Below are 20,675 nucleotides of genomic sequence, written 5' to 3' on the forward strand. Positions count from 1 at the left end.
AACTCCTGACCTCAAGTGATCCACCTGCCTCAACCTGCCAGTGTTGGGATTACAGGCATGAGCCAGCACACCCAGCCCAAGAAAGACTTTTTGGACACTATCTCAGGGTAAGGGAGTAGCAGGATTGGGATTTACACCTGGATCTGACTCTCAAGCTCATGCTCATTCCACTACAGAAAATGACCTGTTTGTTCAGGTCTTCCTATTAACTGAGATCTTCCATCTTCCAGGAATGATGCAGTACATTCCAAGAAAGATGTGTTATGGAAGTGACATCAGATCTGAATCCTGAAGTCAAAGTTTCATTTAGTAGAAATCAAGGTAAGATGAGGAAGTGTTGGGAGACTGGACTATGAAGTATGAAGAGTCTGTATCAGAGGCTGGCAAACTATAGTTGACCATTTGTTTTTATAAATAAAGTTCTATTGGAACATAGCTAGCTCCCCTTGCTTATGTATTGTCTCTGGTGGCTTTCTCACTACAGTGGCAAAGTTGAGTAATTGCGACAGGGACCATATGGCTAACAAAGACAAAAATAGTTACTATCTTGCTCTTGACAGAAAAAGTTTTCCTACTCTTGATCTAGGTCACACTAAAGCTTTTAGTCATAAATGCTATCCTAGGGCTGGGCGCGGTGGCTCATGCCTGTAATCCCAGCACTTTGGGAGGCCGAGGCAGGTGGATCACTTGAGGTCAAGAGTTCAAGGCCAGCCTGGCAGACATGGTGAAACCCCGTATCTACTACAAATACAAAAATTAGCCAGGTGTGGTGGCAGGCGCCTGTAATCCCAGCTACTCGGGAGGCTGAGGCAGGAGAACTGCTTGAACCTGGGAGGCGGAGGTTGCAGTGAGCTGAGATCACACCACTGCACTCCAGCCCGGGTGACAGAGTGAGACTCCATCTCAAAAATAAATAAATAAATTAAATAAATGCTTATCCTGTATGTAATGTTGAGCCATGGAAGGATTTGGAGTAGGGGAGACACATGGGCTTATTTCAGAATTACAAAAAAACCATTCTCAGATCCATCCTAGCACAGGGCACTCCCATGATAAAGGCATCAACAACACAATTCCAAACCATCTTCACTTCTCAATCTTTCACCTTGAATACCATTTCAACAAATATTAATTGAGCATCTAGTATGCACCTATACTCTATGTAAGTGGTTAAAGCTGTAAGCAAGCAGTAAGGCTTGAAACTTAAAGCTGGTGGAAAGTAAACTGAGGAAGTGAGCTTTCTCTTTGAGAGATCCAATGGAAGGAAGACTATGTACAGAAGGACAGCAGCCAGAGGTTGCCTTAGAACACAAACAGAGCTGAACTTCTTGAATCAAGCAGGTTTTTTGGGTTCCAGTGGCAGAAACGGACTTTGGCTAGCTTAAAAGAGAAATCACTGGAAGGAACTGGCAAAGGGGTGGAGTTCAAAGGATTAAAGTGAAGGCTGGAGAGTGGGTTTGGGAAAGAGTGAAGCCTGGGAAACCAAGAGATTTCTGTATCATGAGCCACTCAACACTCTCACCTGAAAAGCATTAAATCTGCTTCTTCCACTCTTGCTTTACTCAATTCGAGATTTAAAGTGCCAGGTAAGCAGTCTGATTAGCCTGGCTTAGGACAAAGGTTGGTTGGCTTTAGTGTAAAAATAAGGATCTGGTGCAAGGAGCTTTGAGGGACCCTGCTTGCTTTTCATTATGAGAAAATGGGCACGTGCATTAACTATCCCACCAGGACCACATACAGTGGAGCAGAGGTAATTCTTCCAAAGGAAATCAGGGTATAGAGACTTAGCAGCTAAACAAGTTCACAAATGTCAATCATACCTGTATAGATTCAAATCCTACCTCTTCCAATTATTGGCTTTGTTGACTTTGGGCAAAGTTATCTCATTTGCAAAGAGAAATTATAATACTACCCAGCTCTTAAAATTATGAGCTAATAGATATGAAGTGCTTAGAACCACGTCTGGCACATCATAATCACCCAATTAAGCTTAACTGCTGAGAGTATTATGATTATTACTGCATGCTTGCTAAAAATAGCACCAAGTGATAGAGCCCACGGTGAGATCTAGGCCCTCATTCCAAAGCTCCCGCTCTTTCTGCCAAGCCAAGCTGCCTTTGCAGATCCAACCTCAGTTAAATGAGATGATAATGTGTGTGAAGTTGTTGGGGCAGGTGCCCAAAGAGGATGCTCAATTACTGTCCAAGACTTTCTTCCTCTCTCCCCAAAGAAGTGAGTAGGCTTAGGCTTTGCTTTCTGCTTGGGAGATGCCCCCACTTTTTTTTTTTTTTTTTTTTTTGAGATGGAGTCTCACTCTGTCACTGAGGCTGGAGAGCAGTGGCGCGATCTCGGTGCCTGGTTCAAGCAATTCTTCTGCCTCAGCCTCCCGAGTAGCTAGGACTACAGGCACCTGCCACCATGCCCGGCTAATTTTTTGTAATTTTAGTAGAGACGGGGTTTCACCATGTTACCCAGGATGGTCTCGATCTCCTGACCTCGTGATCCACCTGCCTTGGCCTCCCAAAGTGCTGGGATTACAGGCGTGAGCCACGGTGCCTGGCCGGAGATGCCCATATTTAATAGAGAACCAAGTGGGTGTAAGAGGGCCCAGGGAAAGCAGACAAAGAGGAATGTTCCTGGTTTGTGCTTACTATCATTCTCACGGCGGAGCCCACTCAGGTTTGTTGACAATCTGGCCCCTGCCTACCACTCTAACCTCTCCTCCCTCCACATTCCCATGAGCTTACCCTGCTCCATCCACAATGATCTTCTTTCTGCGTGTCAAATTCCTTCTGCTTTTTTCTGCCTCGGGGTCTTTGCACAAGCTGTTCCCTCTGTCTAAGCTACTCTTACCCCAGATCTTCATTAGGATCTAAACTCAAATGTGACCATCTCAGTGAGGTCTCTCCTGACAACTCTAGCTACGGCAGCATCTCAACCCCATCGGTCTCTAACACATGGCCCTATTTCAGTTTCTTTGCAGCAATGACCAGTACATGAAATTATATATGTGTTTGTCAATATTGTTGTTTGTCTTCCTACACCAGACTATAAACTCCACAGGGTTAGAGAAAGTGCATCCCCAACACCGAGACTGCTTGGTTCACAGAGGGTGCTTTTACACATATGGCTCTGTCAGAACTGTCATAGCAACCCTGTTAGGTATATAGTCTATTAAGGCTGAGAGGCGCTTAGTATCATGATTTAGAGCAGCACTGTCCAATATATGTAGCTATTTAGATTTACCACGTAGCTATTTAGATTTACATGCTTCATAATGAAATAAAATGAAAACTTCATTTCCTTAGTTGCATTAGCGTCACCTCAAGTGCTCAGCAGCCGCACGTGGCTAGTGGCCACCATTCTGGGTAGCACGGATACAGGACATTCCTATCACTGCAGAAAGTTCTACTGGACAGGGCTGGTTTAGAGCATTCACTGCAGATTCATATACTTAGCTTCGAATCCCAGTCCTGCCAATTACTAGTGGTGTGATTCTGAGTGGACCTTATGCTTTTAGATCTCACTTTTTTCATCTATAAAATGACGCTAATAACAGTTCCCATCTCATAGTGTTGTAGGAGTTATTATAGGCAAAGGCTCTTAGAAGAGCATCTGGGATGTAGTCAGTGCTAGAAAAAGTATCGACTGTTGCTATGACACCTCCATTTTTACTCCCTGAGAAACTGAGGTCCAAAGAAAAGAAATCCTTGTCCTAGTGCACACAGCCAGGAGGTGGAGGGAGCTGAGGTTTGATCCCGCACCTCTATGATTTCAGAGCCTGGCTAAATCCGATGACACTTTTCAGGTCCCTTCTGGGAAAAATCCCTGAAACTTCTGACCCATTGCTCCCTTATCTGTTTAGTGGGGGACAGAAGACTCCAAGGGCTCCTCTATCTAGGATAGATGTGAAGGAACTGACTGGAGAGCCAGCCAGAGCCCAGGACATGGGTTGTCTATTCTAGGACCTAGTCAGTGGCTTGGGACTCCTTGGGGGTTGGGAAGCCAGGCTGCCCAGGACACAGAAGCATTGGTGTGGCTGAGCCAGTCATGCCAGCTGCAGCCGAGACCCCTTGTGTGGGCGCTGCCCCTGTGGGTGTAATGGCCCCTGCGGCAGGGACAGAATGCTCATCCCTCCCACCTGCTCAAGCTCTGGGACTGCCCCAGGAACTGTACAGAGGGGTTGAACTATTTCCACTTGTTTCCCTGTAGAAGCCTCAGATGCTGCTGCTGCTGCTGCTGGTTTAATTTTTAAATTTAGTTACTTTTAATACTTTTTAAATTTAGTTACTTTTAATATGCACAGTCCCTATGCTTGTACTGTTTTCTTTGTTTTGTTTTGGTAACATGGGATTTTTAATTGCTATTTTTAGAGCTTTTAACACATTTTTCTACATTTAAAACTTTTTTAATTGAGGTAAAATTCATATGATATAAAATTAACCATTTTAAGTGTACAATTCAGTGGCCTTTAGTGCATTCTCGATGTTGTTCAACCGTCACCCACATCTAGTTTTAAAACACTTTCCTTACCCCTCACCCCATCTCACTAAGCAGCCATTCCTCTTTCCCTCCCCATTCCTAGTCCCCGACAACCACTATCTACTTTCTGTCTCTAAGGATTTACTTGTTCTGGATATTACGTATCAATGGAATCATACACTAGGTAGTCTTTTGTGTCTGGCTGCTTTTACTTTGCATAATATTTTCAAGGTTCACCCATGTTCTAGCATGTATCAGTACTTGATTTCTTTTTACAGTTGAATAATATCCTATTATATGGCTATACCACACTTTACCCATTAATCTATTGATGGACATTCGAATCATTTCCATATTTTGACTCTAGTGAATAGTGTCGCTGTGAACATTCGTGTGTGAATATTTGTGTAATTACCTGTTTTCCGTGCTTTCGGGTACATACCTAGGAGTGGACTTTCAGGGTTATACGGTAGCCCTATATTTAACTTTTTGAGAAACTGCCAAACTATCTTCTACAGGGGCTATACCAATTTACATTTCCACCAGCAATGTATAAGAGCTCCAATTTCTCCACATCCCCTCAATATACTTTAAAACATTCACAATTATATGGCATAATAATATAATAATTAATGATAATAATTGTTGCTATCATTAATAGGAGGAAACCGAGGCTCAGGGATATAGTCAATTGAGCAAGTTTATGCATCTGTGAGGCAGGCAGAATAATTGTCCCTGAAGATACCCACATCTGACTCCTGGAACCTGGGAGTGTGTTACTCTCAGATGTGATAAAAATAAGACTGTTAATCAGCTGACCTTGTGGGGAGATTATCCTGGATTACTGGGGTAGGTCCAATGTAATCACAAAGGATCTTGTAAGTGAAAGAGGGAGGGAAATGGGTAACAGAGGGAGACGGAATGATGAAAACAGAGAATCAGAGCAATGTACGGTGAGAAAGACTTGACCGGCCATCGCTGGCCTGAAAATGGGAGAGGGTTGGAGAGAGATTTGAAGACGCCATGCTGTTGGTTAGGAAGATGAAAGAGGCCGACCAGGAGTCAGGAATGTGGGCAGCCTGTAGAAGCTGCAGAAGGCAAGGAAACAAATTCCTCCTAGAGCCGGCAGAAGGAATGTAGCTTTACCAAGGCTTTTCACTCTATCAACCCATTTCAGACTTCTCAATTCCAGAACTGTATGATAATAAATCTATGTCGTCTTAAGTCACAAATTTTATGGTAATTTGTTATGGTAGCAAGAAGAAACTCAGGCCAGCCGTAGTGTGGTGGGGCAGGGATTGGCATCCACACTGGATTGACTCAATGTCTGTGATTCTAACTGATTGGCTGTCTGTGACTATAACAACCAGGTTTTTTGCCGTCTCCAGGTCCAGCACCACTTCCCTGCTCCACATAGACATGAGTGGATCTCACAAACATCACGCTGGGTGAAAAAAAAAAAAAAGATCCCAGCACTATGGGAGGCCGAGGTGGGTGGATCACGAGGTCAGGAGTTCGAGACCAGCCTGGCCAACATGGTGAAACCCTGTCTCTACTAAAAATACAAAAATTAGCCAGGTGTGGTGGCGCACGCCTGTAATCCCAGCTACTCAGGAGGCTGAGGCAGGAGAATCGTTTGAACCCAGGAGGCGGAGGCTTGCAGTGAGTTGAAATCGTGCCATTGCAATCCAGCCTGGGCGACAGGGTGAGACCCCGTCTCAATAAATAAATAAATAAATACATACATAGCTAGCAAGTTGTGCAAGAAAGATTCAGTGAAACACCATTTAGAATAAATGTAAAAACACACAAAATAATATTACATACGTGTACTGGAGCCAGCTTATGAGGGTCAATTGTTAACGTTTTCAGTTTTCTACATTTAAAACATTTTTAAATTGAGGTAAAATTCCTCATTTTAGCTGCTTGCCTAACATAGCCCAATACTCAAAACTAAATTGTATAAACTTGAACATAAATAAGTTATAATAAAAATAGAGTAATAAGCACTAAAAGCTCATCACTTCCTAGTTGTGGCTCCCCAAACATGGTGGCGGTGGTGGTTGGTGTGGGGTGGGTGGGGCAGGTGCTACTGTGTAATTGATAGGGACCAGAGATGTTGCTAAATATCCCACAAAGCGGAAGACAGCCCCCACCACAAAAACGATCTAGTCCTAAATGTCAGCTGTGCCAATGGTGAGAAATCCTGATCTTCCCTAAAGCATGAGTTCCTCATGAGCAAGGCCAGTATCTGACTCATCTCTGTCCCCAGATCACAGTCTGGCAGAGCAGATAATGCTAAAGAATATTAATGATGTTCTACATCCCAGGCATTTGTTGCATTTAAACCCTAGTGTTATGAGTTAGGGACTGTGATTATATTTGATAAAGCAAAGAAACAGCTGTGCTGGTAATGAGGCTGCTAAGGAAGGATGGAAAATCGAAACGTAGGACTAATCAGAGAAATCCAAATATGCTCCCCCAACCAATCACAATGGCCTCTAATTAACCACTGCCAGCTTCCTTATGCCAACGGCCTCCAACCAGGCACTCTTGAAGCCTTCCCTTTCTTTCACTATAAGCTTTCCCACTACCCTGCCTGCCTTTGAGTCTGTGCCAAACACAAATGGTGTCAGTGGCCTCCCTTATTACAGCAAGCTCTGAATTAATAGCCTTTGCTTGTTTTCATTGGGTGGTCTTTACTTCCGCATAGCACCGGATGTGAAAAGCCTTCCACATGTTTTACGCCTTGTTTCTTCTGCTCATTATAACAAATCCTGTAGTATCACGTTTTCCCGGTGATGAGTTGCCAGGACCATGTGCTCACAAAGGAGGGGAGCTCTGAAATATGGCAAATGGCCAACAAGAACTCTCTCCTCCAGCCTAGTCTGAAGGATCGCTGAGGTATCCCCTAATGTACATGAGATGGTCCAGCTTGTACTAGGGATTGAAACATAGATAGCACCAGAGATGGCGGCAGGAGAGAGTCCCCTGCAAGAGTGGACATCCCTCCACACCTGGAACTCTTTCCTTCCAGGACACTACACACAACCCTCTGTTTCTATCAGGCTTGAAGGAAGTACCATAGAAACCTTCAGAGCTTAGATAGACCAGTGGTCTCTACACTCTGCCTTTATTCCAGGAGTCCAGAGGGATACTGGGTCAAGTTCATATTCCCACTGACAGCTAAAGTTCTTGACTGTCAAAGCAATTTCTAAGAATTACCAGTGGAAACAGTTAGTTCCCTGTGGCTGCTATGAAAAATTATTACAAACTTAATGGCTACAACAGTACAAATTTACTATCATACAGGTGTGATATGATAGTATCACATTAGCCTGGAAATATCATTATCCCAACTTTATAGATCAAGAAAATGAAGCACAGAGTGGTTAAGTAACTTGCTCAGGGTACATAGCTAGTAAGTGCTAGAGGTAAGTATAAACGTAGACATCTTTGGAAAGGAATATACACAAAAATGTAAAAACAATACTTACTTCTGAGTAGAAATACGATAGATGTTGTTTGCTTGCTTTGTTGTTTTTCTGAAATTTACAGTACGTCTAGGACAGGGGTCCACAAACGTTTTCTATAAAGGGCCGGACAGTAAATATTTTAGGCCTTTTGGCCCAGATGGTCTCTGTCACAACTACAAAGCTCAGTCTTGCAGCCTGAAAGCTGCTGTAGACAATACATAGTGAAATGGCATGGCTGTGTTCCAATAACACTTTATTCATGGACACTGAAATTCACATTCTATATAATCTTCATGTCATGAAATATTTTCTTTTGTTTTTTCCCTCCAACCATTAAAAAAGGTAACAATTACTCTTAGCTCATAGGCCCTACAAAAACAGGAGGAGGGCAGGATTTGGCCAGCAGATCATAGGATGACAAGCATCACACTCAGCATGAAACTGTTCTAAAATGTTGCTTTAAGATGAAAAAGCAGATACAGTTCTTTGGTCAGCAGTTGGTGGCGTGGGCACAGGTCTGGAGACCTGCCAGCCTCCAGGCAGGCTAGAGGGCAGGTGTGGGCAGTTAGTTTTGTCCCTGGAGCCTGGGAAGACGGTGGGTGACCAGAGAGTCCTGTCTATCCTAGGAGGAGAACATTCAGCCCAAATCCCAGCCCCATCATGCACAGATCAGAGCCATTTCTGAAAATGTCGCTGCTGATTCTGCTTTTCCTGGGATTGGCAGAAGCCTGTACTCCTCGTGAAGGTAATGCTTCCAGCCATGCCTTGTGTCCTCTATGTATTTTCTTACAACTTGGGAGGCTCTTGTGGGCTGGATTCAGAGAGAAGCTCCTGAAGTCTAACAGACTTCTTCTTGCTTCCCATTTAGACATTCACATTTCCCTTGATGGACACAGTGGGGTGAATGAGTCTAGGTTGCTAGCCCCTGCCCTTGGAGATACACTTGTGTCTGCATCCTGGTTTCTATCACTGATTCTGTGACTTTGGGGAGACACTGCGTCTGCAAACCTTGCTGTCCTCATCTGACCAACGGGGCTCACAAGAATCCCCAGTTCATGGGACTGTTGCATGTCATTGACGAGCTTACGTTGTGCAGTGCCTGGAAGTCAACATTACCATAGTTAGATAATTCTAGTGAGACTCCAGACTTTTGCGACGTAAAGACACCAAAGAGTATATTGGGAAGAGGACTTGGGTCTTGCCATAACTCTGAGTTCCCATTTCCTCATTCGATCCACAAATGTTTATTCCTGGTTCTTTCCACGGGCTTGATGCTGGGAATATAGTGATGAAAATAGTTCTGTCTTCATGGAATTCTCATGCTAAACACACACATTCTAGTGTGGGGATTCGGAGATGGCCTCTCTAGAAAAGTCACATTTGAGGTAAGGAATAGGAGCTGGCCAGCTGAAGAGTTAGGAGAGACTATTCCAGGCAGAGACTTGAATATGCAAAGGTCCTGGGGCAGAAGGCACTGAGTCCCTCCATCAGAGAGAGGCCGGTGTGTCAGGAACGTGGTAGGCAGAAGGAGGGGCATGGTGGTGAGACTGTTACAAGTAAGAAGAGACAGGAGGCAGGAAACAGAACAGACGGGGGCATGTGAGTCACAGGAAAAATGTTGGATGTTATCCTCAGGGAAAAGGAAGCTGTGAAAGGGTTTTCAGCAAAGGAGTGTCATATTTAGGAGCGTGTGTGTGCATGTATGTGTGTTTCTGTGTGTTTAAACAATGTGTCTTGCCCTCAGGAAAGAATGGATTAGGTGGGAATCAGATTAGGGGCAAACACACAAGTTAGAAAACGTTTTGGTCATCAGGGTGAAGATGGGGATAAGTAGAAGGTTACGAGGCACTGAGGAAACAGCTCACAGGATTGAGTGATGGGTCAGATGCTGGTGGTTGGGGATAGAGAAGCATGCAGAAAGGCTCTCTTTATACATACATGTATTTGCAACTGGGGAATTGAGGCTGCCCTTAACTGAGATGAGAAAACTCTGTAGAGGTCGGGCGCGGTGGCTCACACCTGTAATCCCAGCACTTTGGGAAGCCAAGGCAGCTGGATTATTTGAGGTCAGAAGCTCAAGACCAGCCTGGCCAACATGGCGAAACCCCATCTCTACTAAAAATACAAAAATTATCCAGGCATGGTAGTAGGGGCCTGTAATCCCAGCTACTCAGGAAGCTGAGGCAGGAAAATCGCTTGAACTCAGGAGGTGGAGGTTGCAGTGAGCCGAGATCCTGCCATTGCACTCCAGCCTGGGAAACAGAGCAAGACTCTGTTTCAAAAAGAAAAAAAGAAAAAAAAAAAAACTCTGTAGAGGAACACGTTTTTTAAAAAATTTATTTTGAAATTATTTTAGACTTGAGGAAAAGTCACAAAAATTAAGTTTCTGAATATTCTTCACCCAGTTATCTCAGCTGTTAACATCTTACCTAACCATAGCACAATGACTAAAAGCAAGACCCAACACCAGAACAAAACTATTAAAGAAATTACAGACCTCATTCAAATTTTACTAATGTTTCTACTAATAGAAAAACTATTCTATTTGAGGATCCAATCCAGGATCCCACCTTGTATTTTCAATTAAGTTTTTTGTTTTGTTTTGTTTTGTTTTGTTTCAGAAAATCCAGCTCTTGCTCAACCATGTTGCATTTTGTTATCCCATCTCCTTTGGTCTTGTGATTTGTCCTTAGGATGTGTGATTGAACCTCCTCAATCTTTGTCTTTCACGACCCTGAAACATTTGAAGAGCTCTGATCAGTTGTTTTGCAGAATTTCTCTCAATTTGGGTTTGTCTGAAGCTTTCTCATGATTGGATTGAGACTATGCATTTAGGGCAGGAATACCACAGAAGTGGTCTCACACCCTTCCCCGGGAATTATATCAGGGACCACATGATGTTGATGTGTCTTATTACCCATGGTGTAAACTTTAGTCCCTCGGCTAAGGTGGTGTCTGCCAGGTTTCTCCACTGTTAAGTTACTATTTTCCCCCTTTGTAATTAATAAATACGCTGGGGGAGAAATTTTGAGGCTATGCGAATACCCTGTTCTCCTCCAATTTTTGCCCATTAATTTTAGCATCCATCTGTGGATCTTGCTGCAGAAATGATTGCTACAGTGCTTCTCCAATGGTGATTTTCTATTCCCCTTATTCATCTACATATATTCAATGGCCTTTCTCTGTAAGGAAAAGCTGACTTTTCTTCTCCATTTATTTATTCAAGTACTGTATTTATTTATATCAGCGTGAACTCAGGGATATTTATCGTATTGGTTGGGTGCAGTGGCTCAAGCCTTTAATCCCAGCACTTCGGGAGGCCAACGCAAGAGGATCACTTGAGGCCAGGAGTTTGAGACCAGCCTGGGCAACATAGTGAGACTCATCTCTACAAAAAATAGTAAGAATAAATAAAAAGTATTGCATTAACAGATTATTTTTTGATGGATAGGAGTGTGATGACCACAGATTCTTTTTTGAACAGGCTAAGCTTGAAGCACCTGTAAGATGTTTGGGACATCCATAGATAGCAAGTTCTGTGAGAACAGAGTTTGGGGTGTCTAGTGTACTCTTATACCAGAACTTCTCTTCCCAATCAGCCTTGCAAATACCTACAGAGCAGGGGCTGAATCTGATTTATCTGCGTCTCCAACACCAAACATGGGCCAATGCCCAGAGCATGTACCATGTGAATGTTGGTTGGATGGATGATGAACGAATGGACTTATCGATGGATGGATGGGCTGATAGATGGGCCCGAGTAGCTTTATTGATAGCAGTGAGTGGGTCAGCTGATCTCCAGGGACACTTCTATCTCTGGTCTTCTTGGTTATTGCACTGATCTGAGTCTAATGCTAATTTCTCTCTCTGCTCCCTGCTCCCGTTGTGAACTGGCTGGCTGATGCTTTTGTCTCCAGTTGCAACTAAAGAAAAAAGTAAGAACCGTGGAACCCCCAAGTCTGTATTTTCATAGCTACCTCTCCTAAAATTCTTTTCGATCTTGCAACCTCTCTGGCAATTCTGGGGAAGGGTGGCACTTGGATCTGGTGCACAGACCTGCCATGGGGTCTGGACATGACTCAGAAAAGCAAACCTATTGTTTGCTTACAGTGATGCTCACAACTAAAAGAGCAGCCCTCCTTCACTCCTTTGTCTGGGGAAGAGAGGCCTATTCGGAAAATGAAGAGCATTTATCAGGGAAGAGAGACTTCGGGCAGATCTCCATTAGAATAACACCTTGGCTTATGTTTAACACCAGCTGGTGGTTTGCAAACTTCATGGTCTTAGGGCCACTGAACACGCGAAAAAAATTATTAAGGATCTAAAGAGCTCTTTTTTTTTTTTTCCAGTGAGGGTTATTTTTATTTATTTATTTATTTTTGAGACGAGCCTCGCTCTGTCGCCCAGGCTGGAGTGTAGTGGTGCGATCTGGGTTCACTGCAACCTCTGCCTCCTGGGTTCAAGCGATTCTCCTGCCTCAGCCTCCCGAGTAGCTGGGACTACAGGCTGCGCGCCACCATGCCCGGCTAATTTTGTATTTTCAGTATAGACGGGGTTTCACCATGTTGGTCAGGCTGGTCTCGAACTCCTGACCTCAGGTGATCCGCCCACCTCGGCCTCCCAAAGTGCTGGGATTACAGGTGTGAGCCACTGTGCCCGGCCAAAGGTTATCTTTATTGATATTTACCTTATTGTAAATTCAAGGATTTTTAACTTAAAAATATTTATATTTACAAATATTATAAATATTTACAAATACAAATACTTATATTTACAAAAACTATTTCTATTTACAAATAAGCACATAAAAAGATGCTCAACCTCATTAGCCATCAGAAAAATGGAAGCCAAAGCCACAGTGAGGTATCACTTCACACTAACTAACGTGGAGAAATCAGAACCCTCATATGCTGCTGGTGGGAATGTGAAATGATACAGCTGCTTTGGAAAACAGTCTGGCTGTTCCTCAAAATGTTAAACACTGAGTTACTCAGCAATTCCGCTCTAGGTATGTGCCCAAGATAAATGAAACGTAAGTCCACACAAAAACCCATGCACAAATGTTCACAGCAGCACTATTCCTAAGAGCTAGCAAGTGAAGGTAATCCTAGCATGCATCCATTAATGAATGGAGAAACAGAGTGTGGTCTATGCATACAATGGAATATTATTCACCCATAAAAAGAAACAAAGTTCTGATGCATTCAACATCGTGTGTGAGCCTTGAAAACATTATTCTCAGTGAAAGATGCCAGTGATAAAAGATCACATATTACCTGATTCCGTTTACCGTATATGAAATATTCAGGATAGGCAAATCCATAGAGACACAATGGACATTAGTGATTTCCAGGGGGTGAGGGGTGGGGGAATTTAGAGACAATGACTAAGGGGTTCAGGGTTTATTTTGGGGTGATTAAAGCCTCTAAAACTGGTGTAGTGATGGTCGTACAAGTCTGAGTATCCTACAAACCACTGAAATGGGTGAATTGCATGGTATGTGAATTATATCTCAGTAAAGCTATTATTCAAATATCTATTACTGCATTAAAAAAATAAGGATAATAGAGACTCAGAAGGAAGGAGGGTGGCAGGGAGGTGAGGGATGAAAACTACCTTTTGGGTACAATGTACATTACAAAGATGCTGGTGCACTAAAATCCTAGACTTCACCACTGCACAATTCATCCATGTCACCAAAAACCACTTGTACCCCTAAAGCTACTGAAATTAAAAATATTTGAAAAATAAGGATAATAAATATACATACTGACATAAATAAAATGTTTTAGTGAAATGGCTGTTTCCAAACCAAAAAAGTTTAGTAAGAAAGGTATTATTTTACATTTTTGCAAATCTCTTTGATGTCTAGTTTAATAGAAAACAGCTGAATTCTCATTTCTGCTTCAGTCTGTCACAATGTGCTATTTTTTTTTTTTTTAGCTTTATGTGTTTGTTTATTTTGGAGACGTAGTCTTGCTCTGTCGCCCAGGCTGGAATACAGTGGCACGGTCTCGGCTCGCCATGACATCTGCCTCCTGGGTTCAAGCAATTATCTTGCCTCAGCATCCGAAGTAGCCTCCCAAGTAGCTGGGACTATAGGTGCATGCCACCATGCCTGGCTAATTTTTGTATATTTAGGAGAGACAAGGTTTCACCATGTTGGCCAGGCTGGTTTTGAACTCCTGACCTCAAGTGATCTGCCCACCTCGGTCTCCCAAAGTGCTGGGATTACAGGCGTGAGCCGCCCCGCCCAGCCACAATGTGCTATTTTGGTTGAAGCAAATGAAAATCTAATCTCACACAGATAAGGAGTTGGAAAAGGGAAGATCATGCAGACCCGTTTTAGGCAGAGTTCTCCAGAGAGACAGAACCATGAAGATATACATATAGATACATATATAGATAAAGATATTGATAGAGATATTTGAGAACAAATTTCTTAGGGGAATTAGCTCACTCAGTTGTGGGGTCTGCAAGCTGCAGAACCAGGAGGGCCAGTAGTGTGGCTCAGTCCAAGTCTGAAGGCCTCAGAACCAAGGAAGCTGATGGATGGTCTAACTAACTCTCAGTCTGAGGCCAATGGCCTGGGAGCTCAGGGAGCTGTTGGTTCAAGTCCTAGAATCCCAAAAGCTGGAGTACCTGGAGTTCTGACATCCAAAGCCAGGAGAAGGGCATCCCAGCTGCAGAAGGGAGAGCAAGAATTGACCCTTACTCCACCTCTTGGCTTCAGCTGGGCCTCCATCCAACTGGATGGTGCTCACCCACCGTGAGGGTGGATCTTCCCTACCTAGTCTTCCAACTCACACCCCAATATCCTCCAGAAACACCTTCACAGACACACCTGGGGCAGCCCAAACATTCTAATCAAATGCCAAACCACTCAGGCTTCCCTTTCAGCAGAAGACGGATGGACTCAGTGCCTACTGAAGCATTGAGAATAAACGTCTTACTGCTATATGGGTGCCTTAGTCAAGCTGACACCCCAAATCAACCATCACATCCCCTGAAAGGATCTCAGGGACCACCTCCCACCCCCACCAAGTAGTCTTTGGATGATACTTCGAGAATTTCTGCTCCAAGTCACATGGAAGGGAAAAAGATCTCTTTTTTTTCCACCCCTACTAGACTGCAAGACTGTAAGTTCCTAGAGGGCAGGGACTGTACTTTACTCAATCTGTTTATTCCTATAGCCTAGCAAAATTCCTAGCGCTCAGTAGGACTAAATAAATGGAAAGAGCCTTGCAAAATGGAAAGGACTGTGAGAACATAATTTAATGCTATTATTTCAGGTTGAAAGGAGATAAAAGGATCCAATATTAATTAAGCATTTAGCATGTACTGAGAATTTAAAATACGTCATGCAATTTAATTTTCAAAATCGTAAGTGTCCCATATGGGGTCTGAGGTTTCCAAAGCTCTGAATCCTCACACTGGACCATCATCATGAGAATCACATGGGAAACTTTAAAAATATTTAATCCCCACACCAGACTTGGTGAGCTAAAATGCCTGCAGATAACATTTTGGGTTTTTTATACCTAAAAAGCTAGCCTATGTTAGTTCCTTCCTATCTTCAAAAGCTGAACCTTCTAAACCTAAACAAATGCAAACATCTCATGATCCACACTGTTTTTGTTTCAATTTAAAATATTATGCTGTTTTAATTAAAATGTTTTATGTTAAATTATTTTATTAATATTTCAATTAACAAAACAGTATTTACATAAACTTTAATTACATTTAAATTACTAATTAATTATTCAATTTAAAACATCATGTTATTTTCATTTAAAATAAGATTTCCAGGGTTCAGAATTAAAGAAGTTCTCAAGGTTATACTGGAAAAAACTCCTTCCCAACCTATTCACTCATTTCCCTTCCCCGAAAGAATCTGATATTAATTATTTCTTCCAGATCCTTCCAGAGATATTTTATGCAAGTAGAAACAAATGTGTATTTATATATTCAAAGTCCTCTTGTTTCTATTTTTACAAAAAAGACAGCGTATTATACACACTGTTCTGTATGCACCTTACTTTTTTCACCTAATAATACTTCCAGAAGATGACTCTGTGTCAGTTCATAAGGAGCATCCTCAACCTCTTATTTATACGTTTTTGGCTGAATAATATTTCTTGTATGGAAGTCCACAATTTGTTTGACCAGTCACATACTAATGGCCACTCAGGTTGTTTTCAGTAGTTTGCTCTTTTAAATAATCCTTCAAAGAAAAATTCAGCTTACATGAAATTAGACATATAGGATATATATCAATGTAGATCTACATATTTATATCTGTAGGATTATACATGGAAATATGTAGAATTATATCTATATATAGATATATATTTCTTTATCATCTAGATATAACCACTGTCGTAGTCTGTTTTGGGCTGCCATAACAGAATACCTGAGACTGGATAATTTATAATGAATAGAAATTTATTGGCTCATGTTTCTGGAGGCTGAGAAGTCCAAGATTGAGGGGTTGGCATCTTGTGAGAGCCTTCCTGTTGTGTCATCCTATGATCAAAGGACAGAGAGAGAGACAGAAACAGAGACAGAGAGCTCAGAGCTTCAAGCCCTTTTATAACCAGCATTTATCTATTCATGAAAGTTGAGCCCTTGTGACCTAAATACCTCCCATTAGGCCCCACCTCCCAACACTGCTGCATTTGGGATTAAGTTTCCAACACATGCTGTTTGGGGTACACACTCAAACCATAACACATACACATTTGACCCTTGAACAATGTGAGAGTTAGGGGCACCAACCTCCAGTGCAGTTGAAAATTCACATATAACTTTTGACTTCCCCAAAACTTAACTACGAATAGCCTACTGTTGACCAGAAGACTTACTAATAACATAAACAGTAGATTAACATATATTTTGTATGTTACATATATTACATGCTGATTCTTACAATAAGGGAAGCTAGAGAAAAGAAAATGTTATTAAGAAAGAGAAAATATGTTTACTCTTCATTAAGTGGAAGTGGATCATTATCAAGGTCTTCATCCTTGTCATCTTCACAATGAGTAGGCTGACCAGAAGAAGGAAGGGGAGGGGTTGGTCTTTCTGTCTCAGGGGTGGCAGAGGCAGAAGAAAATGCACATCTAAGTGGATAAGTGTAACCATGTAGTTCAAACCTGTATTGTTCAAGGGTCAACGGTGTGTGTATGTACACATATACATTTACATATTTATATAAATATATATCTGTAAGATTAATTTCTGAAACTGCAAAGTTAAAGAAGGGTTTCTAACACTCGTGCCACTACAATGCTATCGCTGTATTGATCTTTGTCAAATTTATGTGACAAACTACATAAAAATAGCGTCCCATATAAAGATCGCACTCCATATAACAACAGGCAAATAAATGTTCCATGAAGGAATAAAGAAATGCATGTAAAAATTAACAGAGATGGATGATGTTAATATTAATTCCACTCTCTTCCTTGAATTTTCCATGTTGATTCACTGGCTCCTGGCTCTGCTGCCCCTTCCAGTCAACTGTAAGTCATATCTCCTTCTCCCTACATAAATGGGGAGCCCGCCCTTCAACCTAGAGAAGGAAGGGAATGAAAGAGAGAGGCAAAACTGCTGACGATCACATTCAACCTGGGGCAGATTCAGATGTCCTCAATTCAAACATGACCTCTTCACCCAGAATCTGCAGATTGCCCGGGGTGGGAACGGTGCAACTGGATGGACTTTGAGGAGGCCAACAAGCCTCTGTCATTAGGTCTAAAACTGGGTGTGCTGTCAGAGAGAAAGAGAACCTGTGTGGTGTTCTGGGAAATAGCTTTGATCAGATTTTCAGTAGGATCAATGACCTACCACAATCTAGGGGCCTTTGCTCTAGAATGTACACCTGGGTTAGATTGTGTGTATTTATTGGTGGGTTTTAGATGAGAAAAATATGGTACAGGGTGGGTAAGACGTCTTCCTTTCCCAGAATTAACATCCAGTCTCCGGTTGAGAAGTGGAGATGACACTTGGTTATTATGGAGACCTTCCTTATGCTAGAAATTCAGCTGGAGAAGGGAGGGTCTGGATTCCCCAGGCCACTGGTACCCCTGAAGTTTCTGACTTCAGGGTAAATGTGCCTCCAAAGGGGTCCAATGCACTTAGAATGAATTGCAGCTCCCCATTCTGGTTCCCTAACCTATCTCAGGACCTATGGGGTGCAATGAGGTACCAAGGATGACTTAATTCCTTTCATATTCTCTCTGAACCTTCATTGGCAATATGGTTCCCACTGGCTACCATCGGTCCTGTCCTTCCTGCTGCTTGTCTGCCAACAGTGCTGAAAGGTAAGCTTCTCATTCCATCTCTTTCCCTTTGGGGTCTGTTTGCCTTTGTCCAAAAGGGATCATTGCTGCTGAACTTCGACTTACGTTTCTTCTCTGGTCTGTTCACAGCTTAGCTTCTAATAGCGGAACTAGTAAAACCAAGTGTGGAATTGTCCTTTGATGAACAACAACAACAACAAAAGCCCTTTTACTTGTCTCCCCTCAAAGCCACTTGTCCAGAAACTGAGCACTCTTTCATGGTCCGCACATGGCTCAAGGAAAGCTATTAGGTCTGAGAGCTCAATTCAGGTCTACCTGACATCGATAATAATATTTGGTTAGACACAATGACTTACATCTTTGCTTTCTGAGGTCAGGTAGTAAAAGCCACCATCATCGCTGCCTATTTAATAATTCCTAGAGATAGCAATCTGGAACAAGTTAGGTGGAATGAGACCATGGCTTTGTCACTGAGTTTGCAAGACTCTGGGGCAGAAGGCTAGGTCAGGAAGTGAGATGATGACTTGCAGAAAGGGGACAAGGCCCACATTAGGCACCTTTGCATTCGGAGCCTAATTCTGCTCCTTCCTAGGTGGGGCAATCTTAGAGAAGTCACTTCACCTCTCTGTGCCTACTTTGCAAGGTTAAGTGAACTTACGGTTGCAAAACATTTTCAACTCCATAAATCCAGACTTTACCACCTCTTTCTGATTCCACGTCCCTGCTCCCACTGCACACACACACGTACACACCCTTATGTATGAATCCAATACTATTATCATCATTATTATTATTACGTACTTCATATTACTATTTCTAACTTTACTAAATGTTACCTTGAGCCAGGAGCTAGGCTAAGTACTCAATCTGCATTATCTTCCTTCTTTATTGACACAGATCCAAACAGGAAACAATATCTCCATTTTAAAGAGCACAGAGAGTTCATTCATCATCCCAAGGCCACCCACTTAGTAAAATGTATAGCCTGGATATCAGCCATTCAATGCCCACATCAATATTCCCAACAACGTTAGGCATTAACTACCAGACGATTTTCAGTGATACCGAGAAAGGTGTTGCGAGCTCCATAAATACAGCACTTTCCACTAGCAAACCCAGTGGGATTCTTCAATACGTAGCAAGCCTCGCCCCAGTTAACGTTCCCGTTTTGCAGATGAGGAAATGGAGACTTCTAGAAGAAGTCAGAGAGATCTGAGTTTGAGTTCCTGCTTTTTCACTCACCAGCTGCACAGGTCTCTGCAAATCACGTAATTCCTTGGAGGTTCACCCGTCCTCACCAGCAACATAGGGACAATATCTGATCTCAAAGGGCTGGTGTGGGGTAAATAGAAGGACAGAGCTTGGCTCCTCTTTCTAGAGGCAATAAAGGATCATCTTTTCTTCTGTTCCTAGCATGAATGAAGAACGGTTCATGATTACTGTCCCAACCTCTTTCTCCACTTTGGACGCTCTTCCCTGCATCAAATGCACGAGGGTCCTCAATAATCTCACAGCGTTCTGAGTCTTAGTCCCTGACTGCTCACCATGCATGACCCCTTGTGGATTCTACTTCCCAATCTGTTCCCAGCCCCCAGCATCTGACCTCGTTTTTGGTTTTCTAATTATGGCTTCGTCTTTGTGACCTCTTGGGGACAACATTCTGGACCACGCATGTAACCTTGGCCACCATGCTGACTCTCCTGGATGGGCTGCCATCAGGGATCATAGGTAAGTACCTTGCCACTTCACAATGCCCCCAGACTGTGCACTTTGGCGGGAAATTTTGGGCTTTGCTCTAGAATGTACAACTGGGTTAGATTGTGTGTATTCATTGGTGGGTTTTAGATGATAAAAATATGGTGCAAGGATTTTGTGCAAGAATTTCTGAGTATCTAGTCTGTGCCTGGACTCATGCTTGGGTGATGGGAGCCCAGAAGTGGATCTGATATGCTCATTCTTTATAAACTCAAAGTCTGGTGGGAAACAGAGATAAGTAAACAGAAATTAGATTAGAGACAAGTGATGCTTGCTGTAATTTTTTTTTTTTTTTTTTTTTGAGACAGTCTTGCTCTGTCACTCAGGCTGGAGTGCAGTGGCACAATTGTAGGTCACTGCAGCCTCTGCCTCCCGGGTTCATGCCATTCTCCAACCTCAGCCTCCTGAGTAGCTGGGATTACAGGCACCCACCACCATGTCTGCCTAATTTTTGTATTTTTAGTAGAAATGGGTTTGGCCATGTTGTCCAGGCTGGTCTTGAACTCCTGACCTCAGGTGATCCACCCACCTCAGCCCCCAAAGTGCTAGGATTACAGGCCTGAGCCACTGCGCCTGGCCTTGCTATGATTGATAGAGGTAGGAAAGGGGATTAAGTGGGAATAATGAGGCATCATGACTGAGGCATTATAGCCACACT

General features: G+C 42.7%; 3 protein-coding genes across 23 annotated transcripts in view; 2 read left to right on the plus strand and 1 right to left on the minus strand.

Annotated features, from left to right (window-relative positions):
• The window catches only part of ZSCAN5A (zinc finger and SCAN domain containing 5A), a 146,976-nt gene that overhangs the window by 42,914 nt on the left and 83,387 nt on the right, over positions 1-20,675 (minus strand). The window lies entirely within an intron of this gene.
• Positions 8,532-20,675, plus strand: part of LOC124900420 (uncharacterized) — a 37,707-nt gene continuing 25,563 nt past the window's right edge. The window contains exon 1 of the mRNA XM_047439799.1: positions 8,532-19,990. The gene's annotated coding sequence lies outside the window, so the exon portion shown is untranslated. The remainder of the gene's footprint in view (positions 19,991-20,675) is intronic.
• EDDM13 (epididymal protein 13) overlaps positions 8,532-20,675 on the plus strand; it is a 37,707-nt gene continuing 25,563 nt past the window's right edge. The window contains exons 1-5 of the mRNA NM_001354658.2: positions 8,532-8,703; positions 11,876-11,893; positions 17,477-17,482; positions 18,275-18,283; positions 19,982-19,990. Of these exons, the coding sequence (NP_001341587.1) occupies positions 8,619-8,703; positions 11,876-11,893; positions 17,477-17,482; positions 18,275-18,283; positions 19,982-19,990 (127 nt within the window). The 5' untranslated portion in view covers positions 8,532-8,618. The remainder of the gene's footprint in view (positions 8,704-11,875; positions 11,894-17,476; positions 17,483-18,274; positions 18,284-19,981; positions 19,991-20,675) is intronic.

Source organism: Homo sapiens, chromosome 19, assembly GCF_000001405.40.
Source record: "Homo sapiens chromosome 19, GRCh38.p14 Primary Assembly".
In the NCBI taxonomy this organism is placed as follows: Eukaryota; Metazoa; Chordata; class Mammalia; order Primates; family Hominidae; genus Homo; species Homo sapiens.